General features: G+C 50.6%; 2 protein-coding genes across 6 annotated transcripts in view, besides 2 other annotated features; one reads left to right on the top strand and one right to left on the bottom strand.

Annotated features, from left to right (window-relative positions):
• NDE1 (nudE neurodevelopment protein 1) overlaps positions 1-8,660 on the top strand; it is an 82,972-nt gene extending 74,312 nt beyond the window's left edge. For both annotated transcript variants that reach the window (NM_001143979.2, NM_017668.3), the window contains one exon: positions 6,498-8,660. In NM_001143979.2, coding sequence (NP_001137451.1) covers positions 6,498-6,558 — 61 coding nt within the window. In that variant the 3' untranslated portion in view covers positions 6,559-8,660. The remainder of the gene's footprint in view (positions 1-6,497) is intronic.
• Positions 1-24,842, bottom strand: part of MYH11 (myosin heavy chain 11) — a 153,894-nt gene that overhangs the window by 14,559 nt on the left and 114,493 nt on the right. For all 4 annotated transcript variants that reach the window (NM_002474.3, NM_022844.3, NM_001040114.2 and 1 more), the window contains 17 exons: positions 24,067-24,198; positions 23,770-23,976; positions 22,358-22,495; positions 20,872-20,995; positions 19,756-19,927; positions 17,673-17,885; positions 14,871-15,015; positions 9,155-9,361; positions 7,195-7,299; positions 6,954-7,106; positions 6,468-6,716; positions 3,729-3,941; positions 3,146-3,358; positions 2,458-2,619; positions 1,892-2,020; positions 1,527-1,615; positions 622-745 (listed from right to left, as the gene is read on the bottom strand). In NM_002474.3, coding sequence (NP_002465.1) covers positions 622-745; positions 1,527-1,615; positions 1,892-2,020; positions 2,458-2,619; positions 3,146-3,358; positions 3,729-3,941; positions 6,468-6,716; positions 6,954-7,106; positions 7,195-7,299; positions 9,155-9,361; positions 14,871-15,015; positions 17,673-17,885; positions 19,756-19,927; positions 20,872-20,995; positions 22,358-22,495; positions 23,770-23,976; positions 24,067-24,198 — 2,775 coding nt within the window. The remainder of the gene's footprint in view (positions 1-621; positions 746-1,526; positions 1,616-1,891; positions 2,021-2,457; positions 2,620-3,145; positions 3,359-3,728; positions 3,942-6,467; positions 6,717-6,953; positions 7,107-7,194; positions 7,300-9,154; positions 9,362-14,870; positions 15,016-17,672; positions 17,886-19,755; positions 19,928-20,871; positions 20,996-22,357; positions 22,496-23,769; positions 23,977-24,066; positions 24,199-24,842) is intronic.
• Positions 2,843-3,646: an enhancer, noted in NCBI's record as "H3K27ac hESC enhancer chr16:15814393-15815196 (GRCh37/hg19 assembly coordinates)". NCBI's record gives its function as "activates a minimal SCP1, AML or CMV promoter by ChIP-STARR-seq in naive H9 embryonic stem cells {active_cell/tissue: H9 hESC(naive)}" and the evidence as "EXISTENCE:reporter gene assay evidence [ECO:0000049][PMID:30033119]".
• Positions 18,729-19,485: an enhancer, noted in NCBI's record as "OCT4-NANOG-H3K27ac-H3K4me1 hESC enhancer chr16:15830279-15831035 (GRCh37/hg19 assembly coordinates)". NCBI's record gives its function as "activates a minimal SCP1, AML or CMV promoter by ChIP-STARR-seq in naive H9 embryonic stem cells {active_cell/tissue: H9 hESC(naive)}" and the evidence as "EXISTENCE:reporter gene assay evidence [ECO:0000049][PMID:30033119]".

Below are 24,842 nucleotides of genomic sequence, written 5' to 3' on the forward strand. Positions count from 1 at the left end.
GTTGAAGCAGGAGAATCCCTTGAACTTGGGAGGCAGAGGTTGCAGTGAGCCAAGATTGCGCCACTGCACTCCAGCCTGGGCCACAGAGAGACCCTGTCTCCAAAAAAAAGAGGTGCTTCCACAAGTGTCAGTGCCACCCAGGCTGAGCGAGTGACTTGTCCCTTGCTTTCTCTGTCCTGGAGTCGCCTGGAGAATGATGCCTGTTCACCCTACACCACAAGGGGCTGCAGGTTACTGGATGGTCCCTAGTGCCCACCATGGAACTAGTGCTCAGTGACATCACCAAGGGCTCACTGGATAAGGTCAGAGCTTCAGCTAGGGGAAAACGCAATGAAAGAGCATCCCAAGGCCCGGACTCCAGGGATGGCCGTGAGGTACGGGGAGCCAGCCACGCCGTGGCTGGAAAATGAGACACTGCAGCGTGGAGAGGAGTATTCTGAAGACAGCAGCCTGGGCACTGGTGTAAGGGCCCTGGATCTCTACTCTCAGGCCCCACCACCCTCTTGTCCCTCAATCCAGGGCCTGCACACAGGAAGCCGCCACGCGTGTGTTGACTGGTGCAGGATCCTGCTGCAGGAGAGACAGTAGGCAGCGTGACTGTGGTGTCCAGGCGGCCCTCACCTGCTGTGTGGCTTTGCGGACCCGGTCGCTCATGGCCTCCATGTTGCCCTGCTCCTCCTCCAGCTCCTCCTCCAGCTGGGCGATCCGGGCCTCCAGGCGGCGCTTCTCGTCCTGGAGTGCGTTCCTGGGGGAAGGGCGGCCATGGTGGGGGCCTCTACCCTCCCCCGCCTTAAAAGATGCCCCCTCCTTGGAGTCATGCCTCAGGGGTATTGCCCTCATCATCTAATGGGTGAAACTGAGGCTTGGAGAAGATTAGAAGACTCATCTGTAGTTACACAGCCAGGAAGTGGACAGCCGGGACTCAGGCCGGGTCCGTGTCAGCAAAGCTGGGATTGGGATGGGGACCAGCACACTCCTCCCTGACTCTTCCTGGCCTCCCCTTCTCCCCACACAGCTACTTATTGGGAATGAATGAAAGCAGCCACACCCCCAAACAGGCATGAAAGCGCTGACGGAAAACCTAACCACCATGGGTCTGTCCCCAATCTCAGAGGACGCTTCGTCAGCAGCAGCATTGAAATGGGGGTCCAGGGCCAGGCACGGTGGCTCACACCTGTAATCACAGCACTTTGGGAGGCCAAGGTAGGAGGATCACCTAAGGTCAGGAGTTCAAGACTAGCCTGGCCAACATGGTGAAACCCCACCTCTACTAAAAATATAAAAATTAGCCAGGCATGGTGGTACACACCTGTAGTCTCAGCTACTCAGAAGGCTGAGGCAGGAGAATTGCTTGAACCTGGGAGGTGGAGGTTGCAGTGAGCCAAGATTGTGCCACTGCCCTCCAGCCTGGGTGACAGAATGAAACTCTGTCTCGAAAAAATTTAAAAAATAAAATGGGGGTCGAGGATGCTGCCTGTCCCCCCATCCTCTGCTTCAGAGCCCTCTTCCTCCATTCAGTTTCCTACCTTCCCGACAGGCTACTGGCCAGCTCCTCTGCCAGTTCCTCCTTCTCGAGGTCCGCTTGTTTGCGAGCCCTCTCAGCGGCGGCGAGGTCCTAGGTGGGAGGGAGGAAGGCTGTTGTCTGCCAGGGAAAGGCCAAGCCCCACCAAGAGTCCACCCTGACAACTCAGCCACCCTTGAAAGTACATGTTCTTCCTCTGAGCTCAGGGGAGGCCCCGTGAATACATAGAGGAGGGAAGCGTGTGTCTTTCTAGACAGGTGGACCCCAGAGGAGGACGAAATGAAATCTGGGAATGCACAGACTGGAGCTGCCAAGGGGTGCTACCGTGACACCCGCATCTGAGGCTCTCCTAGCAAGGCGAGGCTTTACCTCTTGTAGCTGCATGAGGTCTGCTTCCAAGCTCTTGGCTTTCTTCTCATTCTCTTTGGCTGTGGCAAAGATCTCATCTCTGGAGGCACGGGCATCTTCCAGCTCTCTTTGAAAGTCCTTCATCTGAGCCTGCATGAGTCAACAGGGAGGACAAGCTCAGATGTCCTTACTCCCCCAAGTTCTGCTGCCCAGTTCAGCTTTGCACACCCACCCCTTGGATTTTCTGCAGTTGACCACAAAGAAGTTCCCATTGCACGAGCATGGCTCTCAGTTCCAGGTGGCTGGTGGTGCGCTGGGAGCACCATTCTGGGTGGGCTCCACAGACCTGCCTGAGAAGCTGAGCCCCTGATGTGATCTGAGGGCAGTGGCCAAATACCTAATAATGCTGCCCTACCCAGGGCAGGAGACAGCCACCAAATCCTGAATGGTTCCAGAAAAACCCCAGCTGAACCCACACCAATGGCAGGTGCAGGCTTGCTTCCTGGAGCCCGCTCTGCTGACTTCGGTGGCCTGAGGGGAACTGTGCCCTCCCTCCACCCATGCCCCAAGCTCCTAGTGTCACCCACCTGCAGTTTGCGTAGCTGCTTGATGGCTTCCTCCCTCCCCTTGATGGCAGAGTCGGCCTGAAGCTCCAGGTCTTTCAGGTCCCCTTCCAGCTTCTTCTTTGCTGCAGCTGCCAGGGCACGTTGCTTTCGCTCGTCTTCCAGTTCCGTCTCATACTCGTGAAGCTGGGCGAGGAATAGAGATGTGTGCTGCCCCACTTGCCCCTGGGAGGTCCTTTGGCTCACCTAGGCAGCACATCACTGCACCCCTTCCCCAGCACAGCCCCCTTGTGAGGTGGGCATCTCATCCCCAGTTGCAGATGAGAAAACGGAATCACGCCGGGCGTGGGTGGCTCATGTCTGTAATCCCAGCACTTTGGGAGGCCAACAGGAGAATGGATCACTTGAGGCCAGGAGTTCAAGACCAGCCTGGCCAACATGGTGAAACCTTGTCTCCACTGAAAAAAAAAAAAAAATTAGCTAGGTATGGTGGCATGCGCCTGTAATCCAAGCTACTCGGGAGGCTGAGGCAGGAGGTGGAGGTTGCAGTGAGCTGAGATTACGCCACTGCACTCCAGCCTGGGCGACAGAGCGAGACTCTGTTTCAAAAAAAAATAAAGAAAACGAAGTTTCCACACCAACCATGAGAGTGGTGATAGGAATGAAAAAGGCCACCCGACCTCCCTCTGCTGGCCTCCCCGGCAGCACGCACCTGTCTCTGCAGTTGCCTCCTCTTCTCCTCATTCTGCTCGTCCCGGGCTTGGAGATCCCTTTCGAACTGGCCCTTGAGCGCCTGCATGTTGACTTCCAGCCGCAGTTTGGCGTCCTCCGTGGCTTGCAGCTCGTCCTCCAGCTCTTCCAGCTGCGTCTTCATCTCCTCCATCTGGGTCTCCAGGGCCCGCTTGGACTTCTCCAGCTCATGGACCTGCCGGCAGAGCGGGCAGCCCCATTCTATGAGGCTCAACTTCATGAAGACGATTGAGAAACCCACCGTGAGCGGCACCTCAGGAGATCAGGGAGGTGGCTTTGGCCTCCCACAGGATGCATGGCCGGGACTCAAGATGACCCCTGAGAGTTCAGACCCCAGCCTTATCCTCGGACCCCCCAACTCAGACCCATCCTCGACTGCCATTCTCAGCCCCTCCCAGCCCCTGCACCAGTCCAAAAACCTCCTTCCATTTCCGATGATAGTTCGCTATGAAAAAGGCCAGGAGCTAGCCTCGCATGGACTGGTGAATAGCACAGAGGGTGGGCAGGCGAAACATGGACGAGAAAAACCACCCAGAGCCACTTACGTTCTTGCCCACGTCATCCTTGGAGCTGACCAGGTCTTCCATTTCGGCTTTGAGCATTTTGTTGGTCCGCTCGAGTTCCTCTTTGGCTTCCAAGGCCTCTTCAAGGGCCCGAGCCAGGGACAGGGCCTTGGTTTCCTTCTCCCTGGCTTCTGCCTCAGCTCTGTCCCTCTCATCCGCGTATTTGGAAGAGATGTTTTTCTCCTCGGCTAACAACTACAACACAAGACCCAGAGGTGACTTCTAGGCATATCCGGGGTCAGCGTCACTGAATTGTAAATACCGGGGGAAGCCCTGTGTCCTGCTGAATGTATTGAGGTGCAGGTGTAAGCAGTGTAGGTTAGCTATGGGAGTAATTTATATAATCATCTGGCGTTCTGACTTCTACATCAACCTTATGCAGAGCCAGAAATCAGCTGACTTGTTTTTTTTTGTTGGTTTGTGTGTTTGTTTGTTTTAGATGGAGTCTCACTTTGTCACCCAGGCTGGAGTGCAATGGTGCAGTCTTGGTTCACTGCAACCTCCGCCTCGTGGGTTCAAGCGATTCTCCTGCCTCAGCCTCCAGAGTAGTTGGGATTACAGGTGCCCACCACCACACCTGGCTAATTTTTGTATTTTAAGTAGAGATGTGGTTTTGCCATGTTGACCAGGCTGGTCTCGAACTCCTGACCCTCAAGTGAGCCTCCTGCCTCGGCCTCCCAAAGCACGGAGATTACAGGTGTGAGCCACCACACCTGGCCAAATCCTTGTGCTTCGAAACCACTAGACCTGCCCACGTTGCTTAGAGCACACTGAGGTCAAAGTGAGATTTAAAGCTGCCAGAAGCTAGTTATTAGTTTGTTTCATGGCCACAAGTAGCTATTAATATCTTACAAAAGTATCCTAAGAGCCTCAGTAGGGAAATGGTAAGCATGGGTGGCCCTGCACACATATCTCTCTGCTTGGAGAAGCAACTCAGAGAACATTCCATGCTCACGTTAATCTCATCTTCAGAGAGAACAGAGCAGATTATAAATTGTAACATCCAAAAGCCAAACTTCCAGTATTCAGCAAAGACAGGGACCTCTAAATGGCACAGTCAACACAAAAATCCCACACTATGTGTGCCACTGCACTACACTCTATGTGACAGGAAAATAAAAGCAACCTCAGGCCTTCAACCAGATAACGAAGCATTGAAGATGAGCTGACAGCCCAGAGGAGAGGTAGCTGATGGGAAGAGGAGAAACTGGGATGTTATCTAGAATCCTGACACTAGGAGGTCAGTCAGGGAGGGGTAGGGAACCTGCAGGCATCTGGCATTTAGCCTCACTGTACAATCCTCATTTTATTTATTTTTGAGACAGGGTTTTCACTCCATCACTCAGGCTGGGGTGTAGTGGCGCAATCTTGGCTCACTGCAACCTCCACCCCACCCTGGGTTCAAGCGATTCTCCTGCCTCAGCTTCCAGAGTAGCAGGGATTACAGGCGTGCGCCACCACGCCCGGCTAATTTTGGTATTTTTAGTAGAGACAAAGTTGCACGATGTTGGCCAGGCTGGTCTCAAACCCCTGACCTCAAGTGATCCACCTGCCTCAGCCTCCCAAAGTGCTAGGATTACAGGCGTGAGCCACCGTGCCTGGCCTCTCAAACTGATTTTTAGAATAACCCTGAGTCACTTGTAAACTAAATCATATTTACTAAATAATAATGTATCTTAAAAGTTGGTATTTAGGGGTTTGGGTCATACAGGGGTCTCCATTTATCGTACAATTAAGATTTGTGAATCTCATCACATGTAAGTTTTACCCCAAAAGAAGCAAAATTGTGTTTAAAAATAAACTCTAATTAATATGCAATGTTGAGGTGTGGAAGGGGAAATGTACTGACATCTGTAATTTGCTCTGAAATGTACCCAAGAGATAAGGCATGATAGATAGAATTAGTCTTTATAAATAAATATGTGGGCCGGGCATAGTGGCTCATACCTATAATCCCAGCACTTTGGGAGGCCAAGGCAGGCAGATCATGTGAGGCCAGGAGTTGGAGACCAGCCTGGACAACATGGCAAAACCCCATCTCTACTAAAAATACAAAAATTAGCCAGACATAGTGGTGTGCTCCTATAATCCCGGCTACATGAAAGGCTGAAGCAGGAGAATCGCTTGAACCCAGTGGTGGAGGTTGCGGGGAGCTGAGATCACACCACTGCACTCCAGCCTGGGTGACAGAGCTAGATCCTGTCTCAAAATAAGTATCTGATAAAGTTCATATAATACAGTGTCAATGACTGAATCCAGGTGGTGGCCTTAAAGGTGTTCACCGTACAATTCTGTCAACTTTGCTGTGTACTTGGAATTTTACAGAATGAAATCTTAGGGAAGAGTGGTATTAAAAGTATAGAAACTGAATTACTTGGAATACTACTCAATAGGTATTCAGTAAATACATTTAGTGAATAAATAAGCACCTCATTCCTTCTTCAGGCTAGAAACTAAGGCATCACCATGTGTGCAGGTGACCCTCATGGTGCTGGTACCCAGAAAAGTCACAGTCATCAAGGCTTCTTTGCCATCCTTACTGTGACCTGGTAGCGTTAATGCTCCATGGTCGCCCAAGACAAGATAAGACAGCCTCCCATGGCTCCCCACAGAGTGGAGAGGGGATGCAGGCACAGGCCAGAGCCACGCGTCATACTCTGCAGAGCTGATTCCCCAACCCAGCGTCCATGGCCAGAGTGGGGGACACCCCACGCCCTCTACCTGATCAAATTTCCTCTGCTTCTTTTCCAGGTTGGACACGAGTTGCCGCTGGTTGTCCAAATCAACAACCAGGTCGTCCAGCTCCTGCTGAAGCCTGTTCTTGGTCTTTTCCAGTTTATCATAAGCGGCCGCCTTCTCCTCGTACTGCTGGGTGAGGTTCTCGATCTCCTTCTGGAACCTCTTCTTCCCCTCTTCCAGAGCTTCCACGGTGCTGGCAAAGTCCTGCAGCTTCTTCTTCGAGTCGGAGAGCTACAAGGACAGCGTCCAGGGTAGGGTGAGAGGGGGACCATGAGTGGCCCCTGTCCCTGGCCCCACAGACTCTGAGAAGCGAAGACCATGTCTCCTCGTTGGAGAAACCCAATAGCAGGGGAAGCTGGGGGGTCAAGCACCATCGCACCAACACTCCACCGCGATCTGCCTGCGGGGGATCTCAGCGCAGAGAAGTTGAGAGGACCCATGAAGGAAGCAAGGACACGGGGCAGGCACCTGGATGTTGAGAGTGGAGATGTGGCGCTCCAGGTTCTGCTTGGCCTCCATCTCCTCGTCCAGCTGGTCTTGCAGGCTGTTCCGCTCCTCCTCCAGCTGGCGCAGCTTCGTAGACACGTTGAGCTTCTGCCGGGTTTCTTCTTGAAGCAGCTCCTGCAAAAGGGATGCAAAGAGGTCCCAGGGACCTGCCCCGAGGAAGGCCACCCCCCAGGTCCCCTGGATGATGTGGCAGGACACTCACCTGGGTGTCCTGGAGCTGGGAACTGAGGGACGCCACGTCCTTGGCCAGCTTAATGGCCTTCCCCTCGGCCTCGTTAAGCATCCCTGTGACGCTCTCAACTTCATTCTAAGGGTGCCAAGAGACTGGTTAGTCAAAGCCTCTAGAAGGGGATCCTCGTTGAAAGGAGCCCTTTTTACTCAAAACACATGGGCTAGTACTTGAGGTGTTCACTGATTGAGAAAATACCCGTGAGGTATGGGACTCTGATAAAAAAAAAAAAAAACACACACACACACAAAAAAAACAGAATCTGTGGCTTGAAGGGAACTCCGTCACCTATGAGTTGGGACCCTGGCCCTAGACTCTGTGGTTCTAAGAACTTATTTGAGCCCCAATGGTATTGACTGGGACCTGATCCCACTAAATGGATCCTAGATCCCTGCCAAGGTTGGTAGAGACAAAGCAGCAGGTCTGAGAGTCCAGACGAGGTGCTCTGGCTGGTCCACTCTCTAAGGCTGGAGAAGGGAGACCAGGATGGTACTTGAACGTCCCAGGGATGCTGTCCCATCCCTTCCTTCCTCACTCCTACTCTTTGACCCTGATGGCCAAAGCCAGAGACGCAGGCCCTAAAGGTAAAAACGTCCTCTCTGTATTCTCTGGCTTTTACTCCCTAGTGTCTCTGCATAAGTCCCTTTGAGGCTGTTAGCCTACCCCTCCATCTCTTCCATTGACAAGGAGGATATGAATGATCTTGACACTGCTTATATGAGGGCGGCAAAAGCCCTGCTCTCAACTGCATGTGAGAAAAAAACATCTCACTTAATTCTTCCCTCGCCCCTTGGTCCCTGGCTGTGGACATGTTAAACATTTGTGAAAACTTTGGCCACGTCCCCATGAGTGGCAAGGCAGGGTAAATGGCTATGCCAAGTGAAAGAAGACCAAAGACAAAAAGACCATGTCATTCAGCAGCTTAAAACCCCTCAACAGCTTCACATTGCCCAGAGTAAGGATCAACATACATGTAATAGGTTCTCAAAAGCCCTACATCATCTGGGTACAAGCTCCCCCTCCAACCCCACTCTGTACTATCTCCCCCTACCCCCAACCCCAGCTGGGCACTCCAGCTCTACTGGCTGTATGTCTCTCTCCTAATTTTTCTACTTACCACAGGGCCTTTGCACACGCTGTTCCCTCTGCCTGGTAGACTTATCCATGCTCCTTAGGGAAGCCTTTCGTGGCTCCTCCTCCCCCAGGTTAGGCCCCCTGGTTATTTACACTTGGGCATCATGTGCCTTCCCTTTGCTGCATCATTTGACATTCATTTGTGTGATTATTCATGTCTTTCCCTTCCCTTCCCTTCCCCTTACTCGGCTGGAGTCCTACTGGGGCAGCGACAGTGTCTCTTCTTCCTTGCTGTTGGATCTCAGGATTAAGCACAGTGCCTGGCATACAGCAGGTGCTCAATAAATACTTATCAAATTGGAAAAGGAAGGGTTTTTTTTCTTTTTTTTTTTTTTTCCTGAGACAGAGTTTTGCCCTTTTAGCCCAGGCTGGAGTACAATGGTGCGGTCTCCGCACACTGCAACCTCTGCCTCCTGGGTTCAAGCTATTCTCCTGCCTCAGCCTCCCGAGTAGATGGGACTACAGGTGCCCACGACCACGCCTGGCTAATTTTTGTATTTTTAGTAGAGACTTTTCACCATGTTGGCCAGACTGGTCTCAAACCCCTGACCTCAGGTGATCCACCCACCTCTGTCTCCCAAAGTGCTGGGATTACAGGCATGAGCCACCGTGCCTGGCCAGAAGGTTTTTTTAATATTTAATTGAACAGGGAGATCATCGCCTCTCCTCCAGGAACGCAACTAGAGGAAAGGACTTGCCTTGCAGCAAGAGAGACCTCAGCGAGCCGGGAAGAGGCTCCTCCCCACAGAACTGGGCACCACCCAGCACTGCCCACCACACCACCGCGCCACCTCCTCACCTGCAGCTTGTGGACTTTGTCATTGAGCTCCGCCCGGGCCCGCTCCCCATCGCTGCACTTGGACTGCAGCTCCTGCACCTGCGCCTCCAGCTTCTTCTTCTTATGTTCCACCTCCTGCTTGGCCTGGCCCAGGACCCGCAGCTCCCCGGCCAGGTCTGCGTTCTCTTTCTCCAGCGTCTGCTTATTCTTGTCTAGGTTCGCCTTGGCCTGGCGAAGGAAGCAGAGGGGAGGGATAACAGGGAGGCTGTGGCCGGGAGAACGTTTCAGGCCCTGCCCTTTCCTCCCTCAGAGAGGTCCAGGAAGGCACACAACAGGGGGCACACAATCACCAGTAAGAGATTTGGGGTTTTTTTGTTGTTATTTTTTTTTTGAGATGGAGTCTTAACTCTGTTACCCAGGCTGGAGTGCCGTGGCACAATCTTGGCTCACTGCAACCTCCGCCTCCCAGGTTCAAACTATTCTCCTGCCTCAGCTGCCCAAGTAGCTGGGATTACAGGCGCCCGCCACCATGCCCGACTAATTTTTGTATTTTTAGTAGAGACGAGGTTTCACCATGTTAGCCAGGCTGCTCTCGAACTCCTGACCTCAAGTGATCCACCCATCTTGGCCTCCCTAAGTGCTGGGATTACAGGCGTGAGCTGCCGCACCCAGCTGATATTTTGGATTCTATTTTCCTAAAGCTCATGGGTTGCAATCTGGAATCCCACAAGCGGTATCCAACCTGCTGACATGTCCCCTTTGACCCTTTCACTACTTTTAAAAAAATGAGTTGCCGACATTTTAATAAATGTCACATAAAAATCTGGATTCCCAGCTTCTTTTTCAAAAAACTTTAATGTTTGAAGGCATGCCATGGCAGCTCATACTTGTCATCCCCAGCACTTTGGGAAGCAGGCAGAAGGATCGCTTAAGGCCAGGAGTACAAGACCAGCCTGGGCAATGTAGTGAGACCCCCATCTCTACTAAAATAAAACATTAGCTGGGTGTGGGGGGCACACACCAGCAATCCCAGCTACTCAGGAGGCGGATGGCAGGCTTGCTTGAGCCCAGGAATTGGAGGCTGCAGTGAGCTATGATCACACCACTGCACTCCAGCCTGGGCAACAAAGTGAGACCCTGTTTCAGAAATAAGTAGCTTTGGGAGGCCAAGGCAGGTGGATCACTTGAGGTGAGGAGTTCGAGACCAGCCTGGCCAACATGGCGAAACTGCATCTCTACTAAAAATGGAAAAATTAGCCGGGCATGGTGGCGCACGCCTGTAGTCCCAGCTACTGGGGTGGCTAAGGCACAAGTATTGCTTGAACCTGGGAGGTGGAGGTTGCAGTGAACCAAGATCATGCCACTGCATTCCAGCCTGGGTAACAGAGTGAGACTCCATCTCAATCAATCAATCAATAACTAACATTCTATGTGGTGACTGTGGTGGTGGTAGTTACACAATACACATTTGTTAAAATTAATGGAGCAGTAAAATGGATAAATTTTACTACATATGCCTCAGTAATCCTAAACTTAAAAACAAAAACAAAAAACCAACAACAACGAAAGATCTGGAAACAGAGGGTCTTGCTTTCCTTCAAGGCAACAATCTGCCACATCTAAGTAGCGGCTGGCTCTGCAGGTGGGGCAGTCACCTTTCACCGCCCCCGTCCTTCACAGGTGTCGTGTGATTGACACTGCTACTTCTGTCCTAGTTAAGGGAAACTTATTTTATGGAACCAGCTCCTGTAGGCATGTGAGTTGCCCTACAGGAAAAAAAAAGTGTGTTGGGGCCAGGCGCGGTGGCTCAGGCCTAGAATCCCAGCACTTTGGGAGGCCTATGCAGGCAGGTCACTTGAGGTCAGGAGTTTGAGACCAGCCTGGCCAACATGGTGAAACCCCGTCTCTACTAAAAATATAAAAATTAGCCGGGCATGGTGGCAGTCACCTGTAATCCCAGCTGCTGAGGAGGCTGAAGCAGGAGAATTGCCTGAACCCAGGAGGCGGGGGTTGCAGTGAGCCGAGATCCCGCCAGTGCACTCCAGCCTGGGCGACAGAGTGAGACTTTGTCTCAAAAAAAAAAGCGTGTTGGGCAAAAGTAGGACGCGGTGAGGGGCTTCTTTCCAGGTTGTAGAGAAGGGGAAAGAGAAGCGCAAGTATCCCGAGAGGACGAGACCCACCACTCAGTCTTCCCATAGTCCCTGGGAGGTGCTGGACGTTGACCGGTCAGCCCTGGATGCCCGTCCTCCCTCCAAGACATGACTAAGAGCTGCCAGACCTCAGATGGGGACAGGGAGTCTCTTGGTGGTAACAAAGCAGTGAAGCGGGGACCCTAGGGGACATGGGCTCCCAGAAACCTTAGCCCAGCCTAAGACCCCAGAACTGGGGCCAAACCGCACGAGGGCCTGGGGAGCCCAGGTAGGAGCTGATGTTAAACGTTTCCCCCACAAGCAGATGGAACCAGGTCTCTACATCAGAATTCAAGTTGTTAGAGGCAAAGGCCTCTGTTTCCCTGCACCTGAGATGGGCAGAGGTTTGCACCTCTACCTGCTTTGTGCGGGTCAGTAATGGACATGCCGTCTGCTGGTGGTCTTAATAACTGCGTCTTCCCAAAGAGGCCTGGCTGGGAATGGGCTTGGCTTCTAGCTCCTGTTCACGTCTAATGAACCCCAAGCATGGGGAGGGTCAGTGATTCTGTCTGGGGCCTCACTCTTCCAACCATAATTTTTTTTTTTTTTTTTTGAAACTGAGTCTCACTCTGTTGCCCAGGCTGGGGTGCAGTGGCACAATCTTGGCTCACTGCAACCTTTACCTCCTGGGTTCAAGTGATTTTCATGTCTCAGCCTCCCAAGTAGCTGGGATTACAGGCGACCGCCACCACGTCCAGCTAATTTTTGTATTTTTAGTAGAGACGGGGTTTTGCCATGTTGGCCAGACTGGTCTCAAACTCCTGACCTCAGGTGATCTGCCTGCCTCGGGCTCCCAAAGTGCTGGGATTACAGGCGTGAGCCACTGCACCCAGCCTAATTTTATGTATTTTTAGTAGAGATGGGGTTTCACTATGTTGGTCAGGCTAGTCTTGAACTCCTGACTTGGTGATCCGCCTATCTCAGCCTCCCAAAGTGCTGGGATTATAAGCATGAGCCACCGCGCCCGGCCTTTGGGGGCAGTTTCTAATGGTTTAGCACTATCCCTTTGGTGCTGCCCTCATGAGATCTGGTTGTTTAAAAGTGTCTGGCAGCTCCCCATTCTCTCTCTTCTGCCTGCTCTGGTCATGTAAAACATGCCTGCCTCCCCGTTGCCTTCCACCATGATGGTAAGTTTCCTGAGGCCTCCCCAGAAGCAGAAGCTGCTATGCTTTCTGTACAGCCTGCAGAACCGTGAGCCAATTAAACCTCTCTTCTTTAGAAATTACCCAATCTCAGGGTGGTGCAGTGGCTCACACCTGTCATCTCAGCACTTTGGGAGGCCAAGGCAGGTGGATCACCTGAGGTCAGGAGTTCGAGATCAGCCTGGCCAACATGGCAAAACCCCATCTCTACTAAAAAAAAAAAAAAAAAAAAAAATTAGCCGGGCATGGTGGTGTGTGCCTGTAGTCCCAGCTACTTGGGAGGCTGAGGCAGGAGAATCATTTGAACCCAGGAGGTGGAGGTTGCAGTGAGCCAAGATCACGCCACTGAACTCCAGCCTGAGTGACAGAGTAAGACTCCACTGCTCAAAAAATAAACAAATAATCCAATCTTGGGTATTTCTGTAGAGCAGTGCAACAACGGACCAATACACTAGTGATAGAACCAAATGCAAATTCCCCAAAATTTTTAGGCAATGCTGCACCCACTTAATCTAGCAGAACCAAAAGCTTCCACTGAAGGGGATGTGGAGGAGCTGCAACGCTGAGGGTAATGTAACTCAGGCTTTCAGGAAAACAATCTGGCCGAAGGTCGCAAGCTAAAAAACTTACCCTGGGGAATGAAGCACAGGCACTACCCCAAAGGAGAGAAGAGCACCCAAGATTCAGCATTCGGTACTGCTATTTACCAGCTCCCACTCCCATACACCGCAAAGAGTTCCAACAACGGGAGAGTGATTTGACCTAGTCATTCTCAAATTATGCCGGAGAGAGCTGTTCTGCCATTGAAATCAAATAATGACAAGTTTCCTCCAGTCTTTTTTTTTTTTACAAAAGAAAAATCGCTATGTTGCCCAGGCGATCTGAAAGTCCTGGGCTCAAGCAATCCTCCCTCCTTGGCCTCCCAAAGTGTTAGGATTACGGGAGGCATGAGCCGCCATGCCTGGCCTTCCTCCAGTCTGCAGAGAAATTAAAGTGGATAGAATGATCCCAGTTTTAAGTTTCATTTAAATCTCCCCGAAAGTGTTGTTACACCTTTGCTTATCCCTGAAGGGCAGTATATTGATAGGCCCCACCCATCCTATAGGCCTTCAGTCCTGTAGAGGCCAGAAAGTGGGGTCTAGGACCAGACTGTTTGGGTGCAAATCATGGCTCTGTCACTTACCAGCAGTGTGACCTTGGGTAAGTCTCTTCACCTCTAGGCACCTAGGACCTCAGTTTCTTTGCTTGTAAAATGAGTTTAATAGTACACGTCTCACAGGGTGGTTGTGAAGATTAATTGACATACTGTATGAGAAGCATTTCTATTCATTCTTTTTTTTTTTTCTTTTTTTGAGATGGCGGCTCACTCTGTCGCCCAGACTGGAGTGCAGTAGCACGATCTGAGCTCACTGCAACCTCTTCCTCCTGGGTCCAAGTGATTGTCCTGCCTCAGCCTCCCGAGTAGCTAAGATTACAGGCACATGCCACCACACCCAGCTAATTCTTTATATTTTTGGTAGAGATGGGGTTTCACCATGTTGGCCAGGCTGGTCTCGAACTCCTGAGCTCAAGTGATTTGCCCGCCTTGCCTCCCAAATTGCTGGGATTACAGACATGGTGAGCCACCGTGCCCAGCCTATTTTTATTGTTTGATTAAGGTCTCACTGTGTCGTCCAGGCTAGAGTGCAGTGGCATGACAGGGCTCACTGCAGCCTCAACCTCCCAGGCTCAAACGATCCTCCCACCTCAGCCTCCCAAATAGCTGGGACCACAGGAATGCACTACCAGGCCTGGCCAATATTTTATTTTATTTTATTTTTTTGAGATGGAATCCTGCTCTGTTGCTCAGGCTGGAGTGCAATGGCATGATCTCTGCTCACTGCAACCTCTGCCTCCTGGGTTCAAGTGATTCTCCTGCCTCAGCCTCCCGAGTAGCTGGGATTACAGGCATGCACCACCGCGCCCGGCTAATTTTTTGTATTTGTAGTAGAGATAGGGTTTCGCCATGTTGGCCAGGCTGGTCTCGAACTCCTGACCTCAGGTGATCCACCCAGTTTGGCCTCCCAAAGTGCTGGGATTACAGGCTTGAGCCACCACGCCTGGCCTACTTTTTTAAAATTTTAGTAGAAACAAGGTCTCACTATGTTGCCCAGGCTGGTCTCCAACTCCTGAGCTCAAGCGATCCTCCCGCCTCAGCCTCCCCAAGTACTGGGATTACAGGCGTGAGCCACCTCACCCAGCCTGTATGGGAAGCATTTTGTAAATAAATATAAGCTGCTATCATCATCATTAGAATCTTATGTAACTTGTTTTTTGTCTTTATGCAGACCCTGACCTGTAGTAATTTGAGGCTGCTGATGTCACTCTTATGTGTCATCACCAAAAAGCATCACCAAAAAGCATTACCCTCTTGAACTGCTCAAGCTGCTCTGTGAGCTCCTCCACCGCCTGTGCGTGTTTCTGCCTCATCTCCTGGACCTGAGCCTCATGGGACCGCGTCTCTTCATCCAGGGCCTTCTTCAGCACCGTCACCTCCTGCTCCCTCTTGGCCCTTGGTGGGAGGAACACAGTGAATGGCAGTTGGGTGGAGACAGAGGGTCATCTCAGTGCCGTGCAAAAGAATGAGAGCTCTTCCAGGACCCAGAGCTGCAGTCCTCATCACCACCCCTCTCTAGCTGTGTGACCTTGGGTCATTCACCTAACATCTCTGGACCTAAAATTTCCTCAGCTGCAAAATGTGGAGCATATCACCTGCCTAGGACATCTGTAATGACTGGCAAACAAATACACAAAGTAATAGAATTGAAAGGATGTCTGTGAACTGCAAAATTTTGCTTAAATATTAATGTTGGCTCTTATTTAATGAGCAGTTACTATATGCCAGGCCCTGAGCTAAGTTTTTTATATACATCATCTAATCCTCAGAGCAACCCAAAGAGGCAGGTGTGTTATTATTTCCATTTTACAAATGAGGAAACTAAGGCTAAGAGAGGGTAAGCAGTTTTACCCATGGTGTCACAGCCATTGTGTGATGGAGCCAGAATTAGAAGCTAAACCTTGACCTTGAGTCCATGGTTTTGTTTGTTTGTTTTTGAGATGGAGTTTCACTCCTGTTGCCCAGGCTGGAGTGCGACAGCGCAATCTTGGCCCCCTGCAACCTCCACCTCCCGGGTTCAAGCGATTCTCCTGCCTCGGCCTCCTAAGTAGCTGGGATTACAGGTGCCCACCACCACGCCCGGCTAATTTTATATTTTTAGTAGAGATGGGGTTTCAACATGTTGGTCAGGCTGGTTTCGAACTCCTGACCTCAGGTGATCCACCCGCCTCAGCCTCCCAAAGTGCTGGGATTACAGGTGTGAGCCACCGCACTCAGCCTGGTTTTTTGTTTTGTTTGTTTGTTTTTCTTATCGAGTCTTGCTCCGTCGTCCAGACTGGAGTACAGTGGAATGATGTCAGCTCACTGCAACCTCTGCCTCCCAGGTTCAAGGGATTCTCCTGCCTCAGTCTCCCAAGTAGCTGGGATTACCGACGCCCACCACCACGCCCGGCTAATTTTTGTCTTTTTAGTAGAGACAGGTTTTCATGATGTTGGCCAGGCTGGTCTCGAACTCCTGACCTCAGGTGATCTGTCTGCTTCAGCCTCCCAAAGTGCTGGGATTACAGGCATGAGCCACCATACCTGGCCCATGCACTGGGCTCTTCTGTATCAAAGGCCAAGCGGCAAGGGAGCAGAACGCTGTGCTCTATGTGCATGTGACACTGCACAAAACCCAAAGTGGGGGAAGTAAACCCCAGGGTATATGGTGTTGGCACAGCTAGCATAGCTATATGCTATGATACATGCTATGCCAACACCACAGATTGCATCAAAATACATTTATGTGTTTACTGAATGAATCAATGACCTAGTTTCACTAGAGTCAGGATTCGTGATCTGGCAGGCAGTTTGTTATTGTTTGTTCATTTGAAGTGAATCTTCAATTGAAAACCAATCTGATCAATTTTATTTTTAAAATTTAACACAAAAGTGATACACACACATACTTGGGAATTGGAGCTTGGGGACTGACTGATACACACACAGACAGGAAGGAATTTCTCAAGAATGTTAACTGGTGTGACTAAGGGTGATTTTTTTGTTTTTTGTTTTTTTTTGAGATGGAGTCTCACTCACTGTGTCACCCAGGCTGGAGTGCGATGGTGCGATCTCAGCTCACTGCAACCTCTGCCTCCCAGATTCAAGTGACTCTACTGCCTCAGCCTCCTGAGTAGCTGGGATTTACAGGCATGCGCCACCACGCCCAGGTAATTTTTGGATTTATAGTAGAGACAGGGTTTCACCATGTTGGCCAGGCTGGTCTTGAACTCCTGACCTCAAGTGATCCACCTGTCTTTGGCCTCCCAAAGTGCTGAGATTATAGGCGTGAGCCCGACCCTAAAGGTGATTTTTTTTTATGTCTGCTTTTCTATAGTTTTCAAATTGTTCTCTGAGTATATCCAAGCTTACCAATGAGGATGGTTTTGAATGCAGCCTGACACAGAGTCATAAACTTTCTTAAAACAGTATGAGATGTTTTTTCCAATTTGTAAAATTTTTTTAGTTGATCAGCTATTATTAGTGTTAGTGTATCTTATGTGTGGCCCAAGACAAATCTTTTTCTTCCAATGTGGCCAAGGGAAGCCAAAAGATTGTACATCCCTGGTATATACTACTCTTCTGATGAGAAATAAGATGATGAGGGTCGGGTGCAGTGGCTCACACATGTAATACCAGCAGTTTGGGAGGCGGAAGTGGGTGGATCACTTGAGGCCAGGAGTTCAAGTCCAGCCTGGGCAACATGGCAAAACTCCATCTCTACTAAAAACAAAAAATTAGCCGGGTGTGGTGGCACATACCTGTAATCCCAGCTACTCAGGAGGCTGAGGCATGAGAATCGCTTAAATCTCAGAGGTGGAGGTTGCAGTGAGCCAAGATGGCACAACTGCACTCCAGCCTAGGCAACAAAGCCAGACTGCCTCAAAAAAAAAAAAAAAAGAAAGAAAAAAAAGAAACAGCCAACCATGCTTCTATAAGTTAAAGCAAACCGCGGCCAGGAAGGTAAATGCACAGGGGCTGATGCACGATTTGCTTTGGGTTTGTCCCCTCTTCTGCCCCCATCCCATTGGTGCAGTGGGATAGCAGGATGGTGGGATTGATGGGCCCCTCACCTGAGCTCCTGCTGAGTGGCTGTGCTGTCCAGTGTGTCTTCCAGCTCTGTCTTTAGGGCCTCCAGCTCCTCGCCGAGGTCTCGCTTCTGCTTTTCAGCCTTGTTCCTGGCGGCCCGCTCTGAGTCCAGGTCCTCCTGGAGGTCTGAGATGTGGCCCTCCAGCTCCCGGATCTTCTTCAGGGCATTGTTCTTCTGAGCGATTTCATCGTCAAGCCTTCCAGGGAGAGACCCAGCAGAATGAACCCCCAGGTCCCTTGGTTTCCTCTCTTACAATGTGGCCAAAAACTTTTCTGGGACCAGACAGTTATGTTGCAGAGACATCAAACACCTTCTATCCATGTCCCCAGGTCTGCTTCTTGACATGCCAGACTATATGAGATTAACATAGGATGTGAGTGCCAAGGTCTGACATCAAAACAGGTTGTACATGTGCATGGGTGTGTGTACGTGTGTATGCACGTGTGTGCATGTGTGTGCAAGAATGCAAAGCATTGACCCCAGACTGGCAAGGTACCTGGTCACAGTAGGGACTGTGTAGATGCTTTCTGAATGTTGGACAGTTCTTCTTCCCTGGCAACTGTCTGTTCTTTCTGCATTTGCTCAGTGACTGAGTACCCGCCCCATGCACAGCATTTGGCCAGCCACTGCTTGCGGGGGATATTCAGACTGGGGCTCTGCATCTGGTGGAGGTGGTGACCAGAGATCAAGGTGGGCTGCAAGAAGCCCTGTTAAATGGCAGAATGCTGCAGGAGAGGCAAGCACTTTGATTTTACTGTACTTGTGAAAGGGCAGCAACAAGAGAGAAAGTGAAATAGTTGGGTTGGGGTGAGACTGCAGAGGGTGGATGGGCTCTGAGGGTGAGGCTAAGGAAACTGGATTTTCCCTAGTAAGCCAGTGAAGTTAGGTTTTTGTTTTGTTGTTATTATTGTTTTGAGACAGGGTCTTGCTCTGTTGCCCAGGCTGGAGTGCAGTGGCATGATCATAGCTCACTTTAGCCTCAACCTCCTGGGCTCAAGTGATCCTCCCATCTCAGCCTCCTGAGTAGCTGGGACTACAGGCACACACCACCATGCCTGGCTCATTTTTTAACTTTTTGTAGGGACAGGGTCTTGCTATGTTGCCCATGTTGGTCTCAAACTGCTGGCCTCAAGCAATCCCCCCACCTCGGCTTCCCAAAGTGCTGAGATTACAGGCGTGAGCCACTGCATCCAGCCAGCAAAGTTTTGTGAGCAGGTTCCTGCCCCAGAGAGATGCTTTCCCTTCATCACCGTAGCACTGTCAACATAGCACAAATTGGCCGACAAAAGAGCCAGGCCAGGGGATCAATCAGAAAGCTTTGAGGCTTAAATCCCAGCTCTGCCTCTTAGAAGCAATGACATTGCTCCTGTTGCGTTACCCCTAGGAGGCTCAGCTTCCTCCTCAAAGACACCGGCAGTACACCTGGCCAGGTGTCTGCAAAGGTATTGCTTGAAAAGAACTTAGCACCGAGTGAGCAGGTAAATAATCATTCATAGTGGCTGCTGCAGTATTAGCATTAGTGTAAATCCAGCTAAGAGCCAGGAAGAGGGAAAAACCAGAGGAAATGGGTGGGGGACATTTAGAAGGACTGGCAGAATCTGAAGGTTGCTGCTTGCTGTGGGTCGGCAGAAACAAAGGAGGAGATTGGTGTTCACAAAAAAGAGGGCCCTTAGAGGGAGGGGCTGGGGAAAGGAAGGTCATTCCCGCCTTAGACAGGGGTGTTTGAGATGACGGTGGAAATTGACTCATTGGGCAATCGGAAATTCAGAAGGGGGTCTAGATGAGAAAAGCCTGGATGTCGAAGAGGCAGCAGCAACACCATGGGAGTAGGTGAGATCAACTGCAAAGACATGATGTGTTTGCAGGGAAGAGAAGAAAGTCGAAGGTGAGGATCTGGGGGAGTGAACAGGGTCGAGAAGGCTTGTGGGAGGCCTGGCCTGGGAAACGAAGTTCATGCCAAGGGCCTGGGGCCGCCTTGACCAAGACAGCCACTGCGAATGAGCGAATGAGCAGGGGCCCAGGGGATACATGGACACACAGCAAATGCCCCTTGCCAGCCCCGCTACCTGGCCAGGGCCGCCTGCAGCTCCTCCTCCTTCTTGGCCAGCTGCATCTTGAGCTCTGCGATCTGCGCCTGGAGGTCAGCGATCTGCTCGTGGAAGTCGCTGGCATCACCCTCCAGCTTCCGTTTCAGCTTCTCCAGCTCCTGTCGGCTCTTCTCTTCCTTCTTTAGCCGCACTGCAAAAACCAAGGTGCTCTTCAGGAAGGGGAGGCCCCAGAGAGATGCCCGGAAATGAGCCTTCCTGCCCAGGCATTTTACCCGGAGGAGATGAACACATCCCCCAATCAGTAACCATCATAGTCACGGTCTGGACCATTATCTCCCGATGAACAGCACCTTATATTGTCATAATATTATTATTAGTTGAGATGGAGTTTTGCTCTTGTTGCCCAGGCTGGAGTGCAGTGGCGCAATCTCAGCTCACTGCAACCTCCGCCTCCCGGGTTCAAGCAATTCTCCTGCCTCAGCCTCCCGAGTAGCTGGGATTACAGGCGCCCGCCACCACGCCTGGCTAATTTTTGTATTTTGAGACAGGGTTTCACCATGTTGGCCAGGCTGGTCTCCAACTCTTGACCTCGTGATCCGCCCACCTCGGCCTCCCAAAGTGCTGGGATTACAGGCGAGAGCCACCGCACCCAGCCCTTTTATCATATTATTAGTGCATGTGATGACTAAGGGTGATTTCGAGAGGTGGCATAGAGTTAGTTGTCACTCATGGGATGATCTGCCATCCTCAAATTTCCTTTCTGATTTTCCTGCTTTTAAAAATACCCATTCAAGCCCAGGAATAGTGGCTCATGCCTATAATCCCAGCACTTTGGGAGGCCAAGGTGGGAGGACTGCTTGGGCCCAGGAGTTTGAGACTAGACTGAGCATCATAGTGAAACCCCATCTCTACAAAATAAAAAATAAAAAAAAATTAGCTGGGTGTGGTGATGCACGCCTGTAGTCTCAGCTGCTCAGGAGGCTGAGGCAGGAGGATCACTGGAGCTTAGGAGTTTCGGGCTGCAGTGAGCCATGATCGCACCACTGCACTGCAGCCTGGGCAACAGAGCAAGACCTCATCTCTAAAAAAAATAATAAAATAAAATAAAAATAAATCTCTTGGTAGCTGGTTTACCTTCCAGTTCTGAAATCATAGATTCATGCTTGTTTTTCAGCTTGGTAAGATTCTTGGCCTTTTCTTCCTCTTCTGCAAGATTTGTCGTTAAGTCACTAATCCTCTCCTCAAGGAGTTTTCGTTCCTTTTTGGGGAAAGAGAAAGAGATAGCTTTAGGATTTTTCTTTTCTCTAGAATCTATGTTTCACTTTTAGTGATTTCCATGTAAACAGTTGAAAGAAAAACCCACATTATAACAAAATACAACTAGAGTTTTAAATGGTAAAGAGAAGTCCCATAACAATTTCCAAAAACTGGCCATTTCTCATCTCGTGCCAGTTTGTCCCTCATATTGTATGGTCAGCTAAAGGTACCCTCCTTCCATTCCTGCCACTGGCCAGCTCTTCCCTGCCCCAGGGCCTTTGCACAGTGGGCCAACCAGCTGAGATGCTCTTCTACTCCCCTCTAACTGCTCCTTCATCTTTAAGTTTCTGCTTAAATGTCACCTCCTCCAGGAAGTCTTCTATGAATACCCTTCCTCTATCCCCCACTGCTGTATTCTTTTTTTTTTTTTGAGACAGAGTCTCACTCTGTCGCCCAGGGTGGAGTGCAGTGTTGCTATCTCAGCTCACTGCAACCTCTGCCTCCCACGTTCAAGTGATTCTCCTGCCTCAGCCTCCCGAGTAGCTGGGACTACAGGCGCCCGCCAACACACCCAACTAATTTTTTGTATTTTTAGTAGAGATGGGGTTTTACCGTGTTGGCCAGGCTGGTCTCCAACTCCTGACCTCAGGTAATCCACTTGCCTCAGCCTCCCAAAGTGCTGGGATTGCAGGCATGAGCCACCGCACCCGGCCTGCCGCACTCTTAAAATATGGTGAACGTTTCCTTCAGAGCCCTGATCACCATGGTAAATGACGATTATTTGCCATCTCACTACAGTATAAACCCCACAAGGGAAGGGTCCTCCTTCACCATGCATACCTGCATCTAACACAGAGCCTGGCTCACAGTAGGGGCCAAGCTGACATCCAGCTCAAAGAACTAAAAGCAGGTGGGGCTGGTTAGTGACTACTGACTACGGTGACCAGCTTGTCCTGGTTTTCTAAGGGCTTTTCTGCTTTGAGAACTGAAAGTCCCAAATCCCCAAAATCTCCCTGATCCTGGTAAGCCTGTTGTTTTTAATGCAGAAACTTGATTCCACTTTTTTTTTTTTTTGAAACAGAGTCACTCTGTCACCCAGGCTGCAGTGCAGTGGCACGATCTCAGCTCACTGCAACCTCTACCTCCCAGGTTCAAGTGATTCTCCTGCCTCAGCCTCCCAAGTGGCTGGGATTACAGACACTGGCCACCACACCTGGCTAATCTTTGTATTTTTAGTAGAGATGGAGTTTTACCCTGTTGGCCAGGCTAGTCTCAAACTCCTGGCCTCAAGTGATCCACATACCTTGGCCTCCCAAAGTGCTCGGATTATAGGCGTGAGCCACTGCACCCGGCCCCTACTCACTTTTGATAGTTTATTGTTCTGATCATCCATGACCAGGATCTCATCCTCCAGTTTCTTGATCTTGGCCTCAGCCGTGACCTTCTCAAGTTGCAGCTTCTGCCTGGCAGCTTCCTCCTCCTCCAGCTGTTCTTCAAGGTCCTTTGTTGTGGAGGGAAAAGAGTAACAGCTTTGGTTATAACAGATTTACTCTCGTGGTGATCTGGGGACTAATGAATACAGGGGCTAGGCCTGAAGATGCCCAGAACTCTGTAGCCTCCTAAAAGGAAGAAATAAAGGCCTGAGCGTGGTGGCTCACACCTGTAATCCCAGCACTTTTGGAGGCCGAGGTGGGTGGATCACTTGAGGTCAGGAATTCAAGACCAGCCTGGCCAACATGGTGAAACCCCGTCTCTACTAAAAATACAAAAAAAATTAGCCAGGCATGGTGGTGGGCTCCTGTAATCCCAGCTACTCGGGAGGCTGAGGCAGGAGAATCGCTTGAACCCGAGAGGCAGAGGTTGCAGTGAGCTGAGATCGCACCATCGCACCCCAGCCTAGGCAAGAGAGTGAGACTCTGTCTCAAAAAAAAAAAAAAAATAAAGACCTGGGTAAGCTGCTCTGCTTCATGGAACCTCAACCTCCTCATCTATAAAATGAGCACAGTAGGTACCATGGTGGTTTTAAAATCTATCCACAAGTTCTTTGCGACTCCAAAAAGGTGGAGCCTAATTCTCCTCCCCTTGAGTGGGGGTTAGATTTGCTTCTAACAACAACAACAAAAATCAGGAAGAAGTGATGGAATGTAACTTCAGAGATTAGGCTATAAAAGGCATTGCGGCTTCCTTTCTCCTCTCTCAGATCACTCCTTCTGGGGGAACTCTGCTGCCATATTGGAAGGACACTCAAGCAGCCCTGAGGGGAGAGGCCTTCATGATAAGGAACTGAGGCCTCCTCCAACAGCTGTGTGAATAAGCCAAGTAGAAGTGGGTCCTCCAGCCCCAGATGAGCCTTCAGATGACTGCAGCCTCAGCCAACACCTTGACTGCAACCTCAGGCCGGACCCTCAGCCAGAACCACTCACCTAAGCCACTCTCAAATTCCTGACTATGCAATACTTTTTATTTTTAGCTGCTGAGTTTGGCATGTTTTGTTATGTAGCAATAGCTAACAAATACAATTATCCTCCATTCAGGCTTGCTGTTAGGAGAAAAGGGGTTAGCACATGCAAGGCAGGGCAATAGAACAGAGTGGGCTCACTGTGTTCCAGTCCCAATCCCAGCTGTGTGGCCTTGATCAGATGACCAACCCTCTCCAAGCCCCCGTCTCATCATCTGTCCCAGCAGGGACACATATCCCTGGATGCACCTCCACAGGCCTGTGGTGAGGGTCAAGTGATTTGCTACCCACCACGGGCTGCCCCTGTGACACCTTACCAGCATCTGCTGGGCCATCTTCTTCCTTTCAGCCTGTAGCTGCTGGCCCCTGTCTTCCTCCTCCTCCAGGCGGGCCTCCATCTCATGCAGTATCTCCTCCAGCTCCTGCTTCTTGGCCGCCAGCCGCACCCGCATCTCCTCAGCCTCTGCATACAGCTCTGTCTCTGCCTGCAGCTGTTCCTGTAGCAGGTTCTTCTCCTCGGTCAGCTGCACGCAGGTGGTGGGGAGGAGGCGGGTGAGCCCCACGGGGCCAAGTCCTGTTCCCCAGCAACCCCAGCCATGCATCCATACAGGTACCTGCGAGTGCTTCTGTTCCAGCTCCTTAAGCTCATTCTCTGCCTTCTGCTGCCGCTCCTTGGTCTTCTGCAGTTCATCCTCCTTGGCCTGCATCTCCTCCTCCTGCCGTGTCACCTGCAGCAGTGGCTTCACCTGCACACACACGGTTAGCCCATCATTTGTTTTTGTGGCAAAGGGATATGTTGTCATAATAAATTCGATCAGTGGTTCCGAGCCAGGGACAATGTTGCCCCCACCGATCCCCACTAGGGGATATTGTCTGGAGACACTGCTGATTGTCACAGCTGGGGTGGGGGGTGCCTCTGGCATCCAGTGGGTAGAGGCCAGGGATACTGCTAAACACCCTACAGTGCACAGGACAGCCCCCACAACAGAATTAGTCACCCCAAAATATCAACAGTGGCAAGACTGAGGAGCTCTAAATCAGAGCACCAGAAAAGGTACAAAGTGAAAGGAAAAAGTCTCATCTTCCCCACTTTAGAACCATCCCAACAGAGAACTACTGCTGAAAAGTGATATTTCCTTCCAAGGACAAAAGGGAGAAAAAAAATCTTTCATATCCCACCCACCTCCCTATCAAAGTCATTATTAACATTGTTTACATTTCCTTCCTGGCTCTTTTTCTATGTTTAAAAAATAGACTTAAGACCATGCTGCCTAGTTGTAGAGGCTGCTTTTATTATTTAAAATTATATGATACAGACAGGAACAGTGATGCATGCCTGTAATCCCAGCATTTTGGGAGGCCGAGGCAAGCGCTTGAGCCCAGGAGTTTG

The sequence above is a fragment of the Homo sapiens genome, chromosome 16 (genome assembly GCF_000001405.40).
Source record: "Homo sapiens chromosome 16, GRCh38.p14 Primary Assembly".
Classification (NCBI taxonomy): Eukaryota; Metazoa; Chordata; class Mammalia; order Primates; family Hominidae; genus Homo; species Homo sapiens.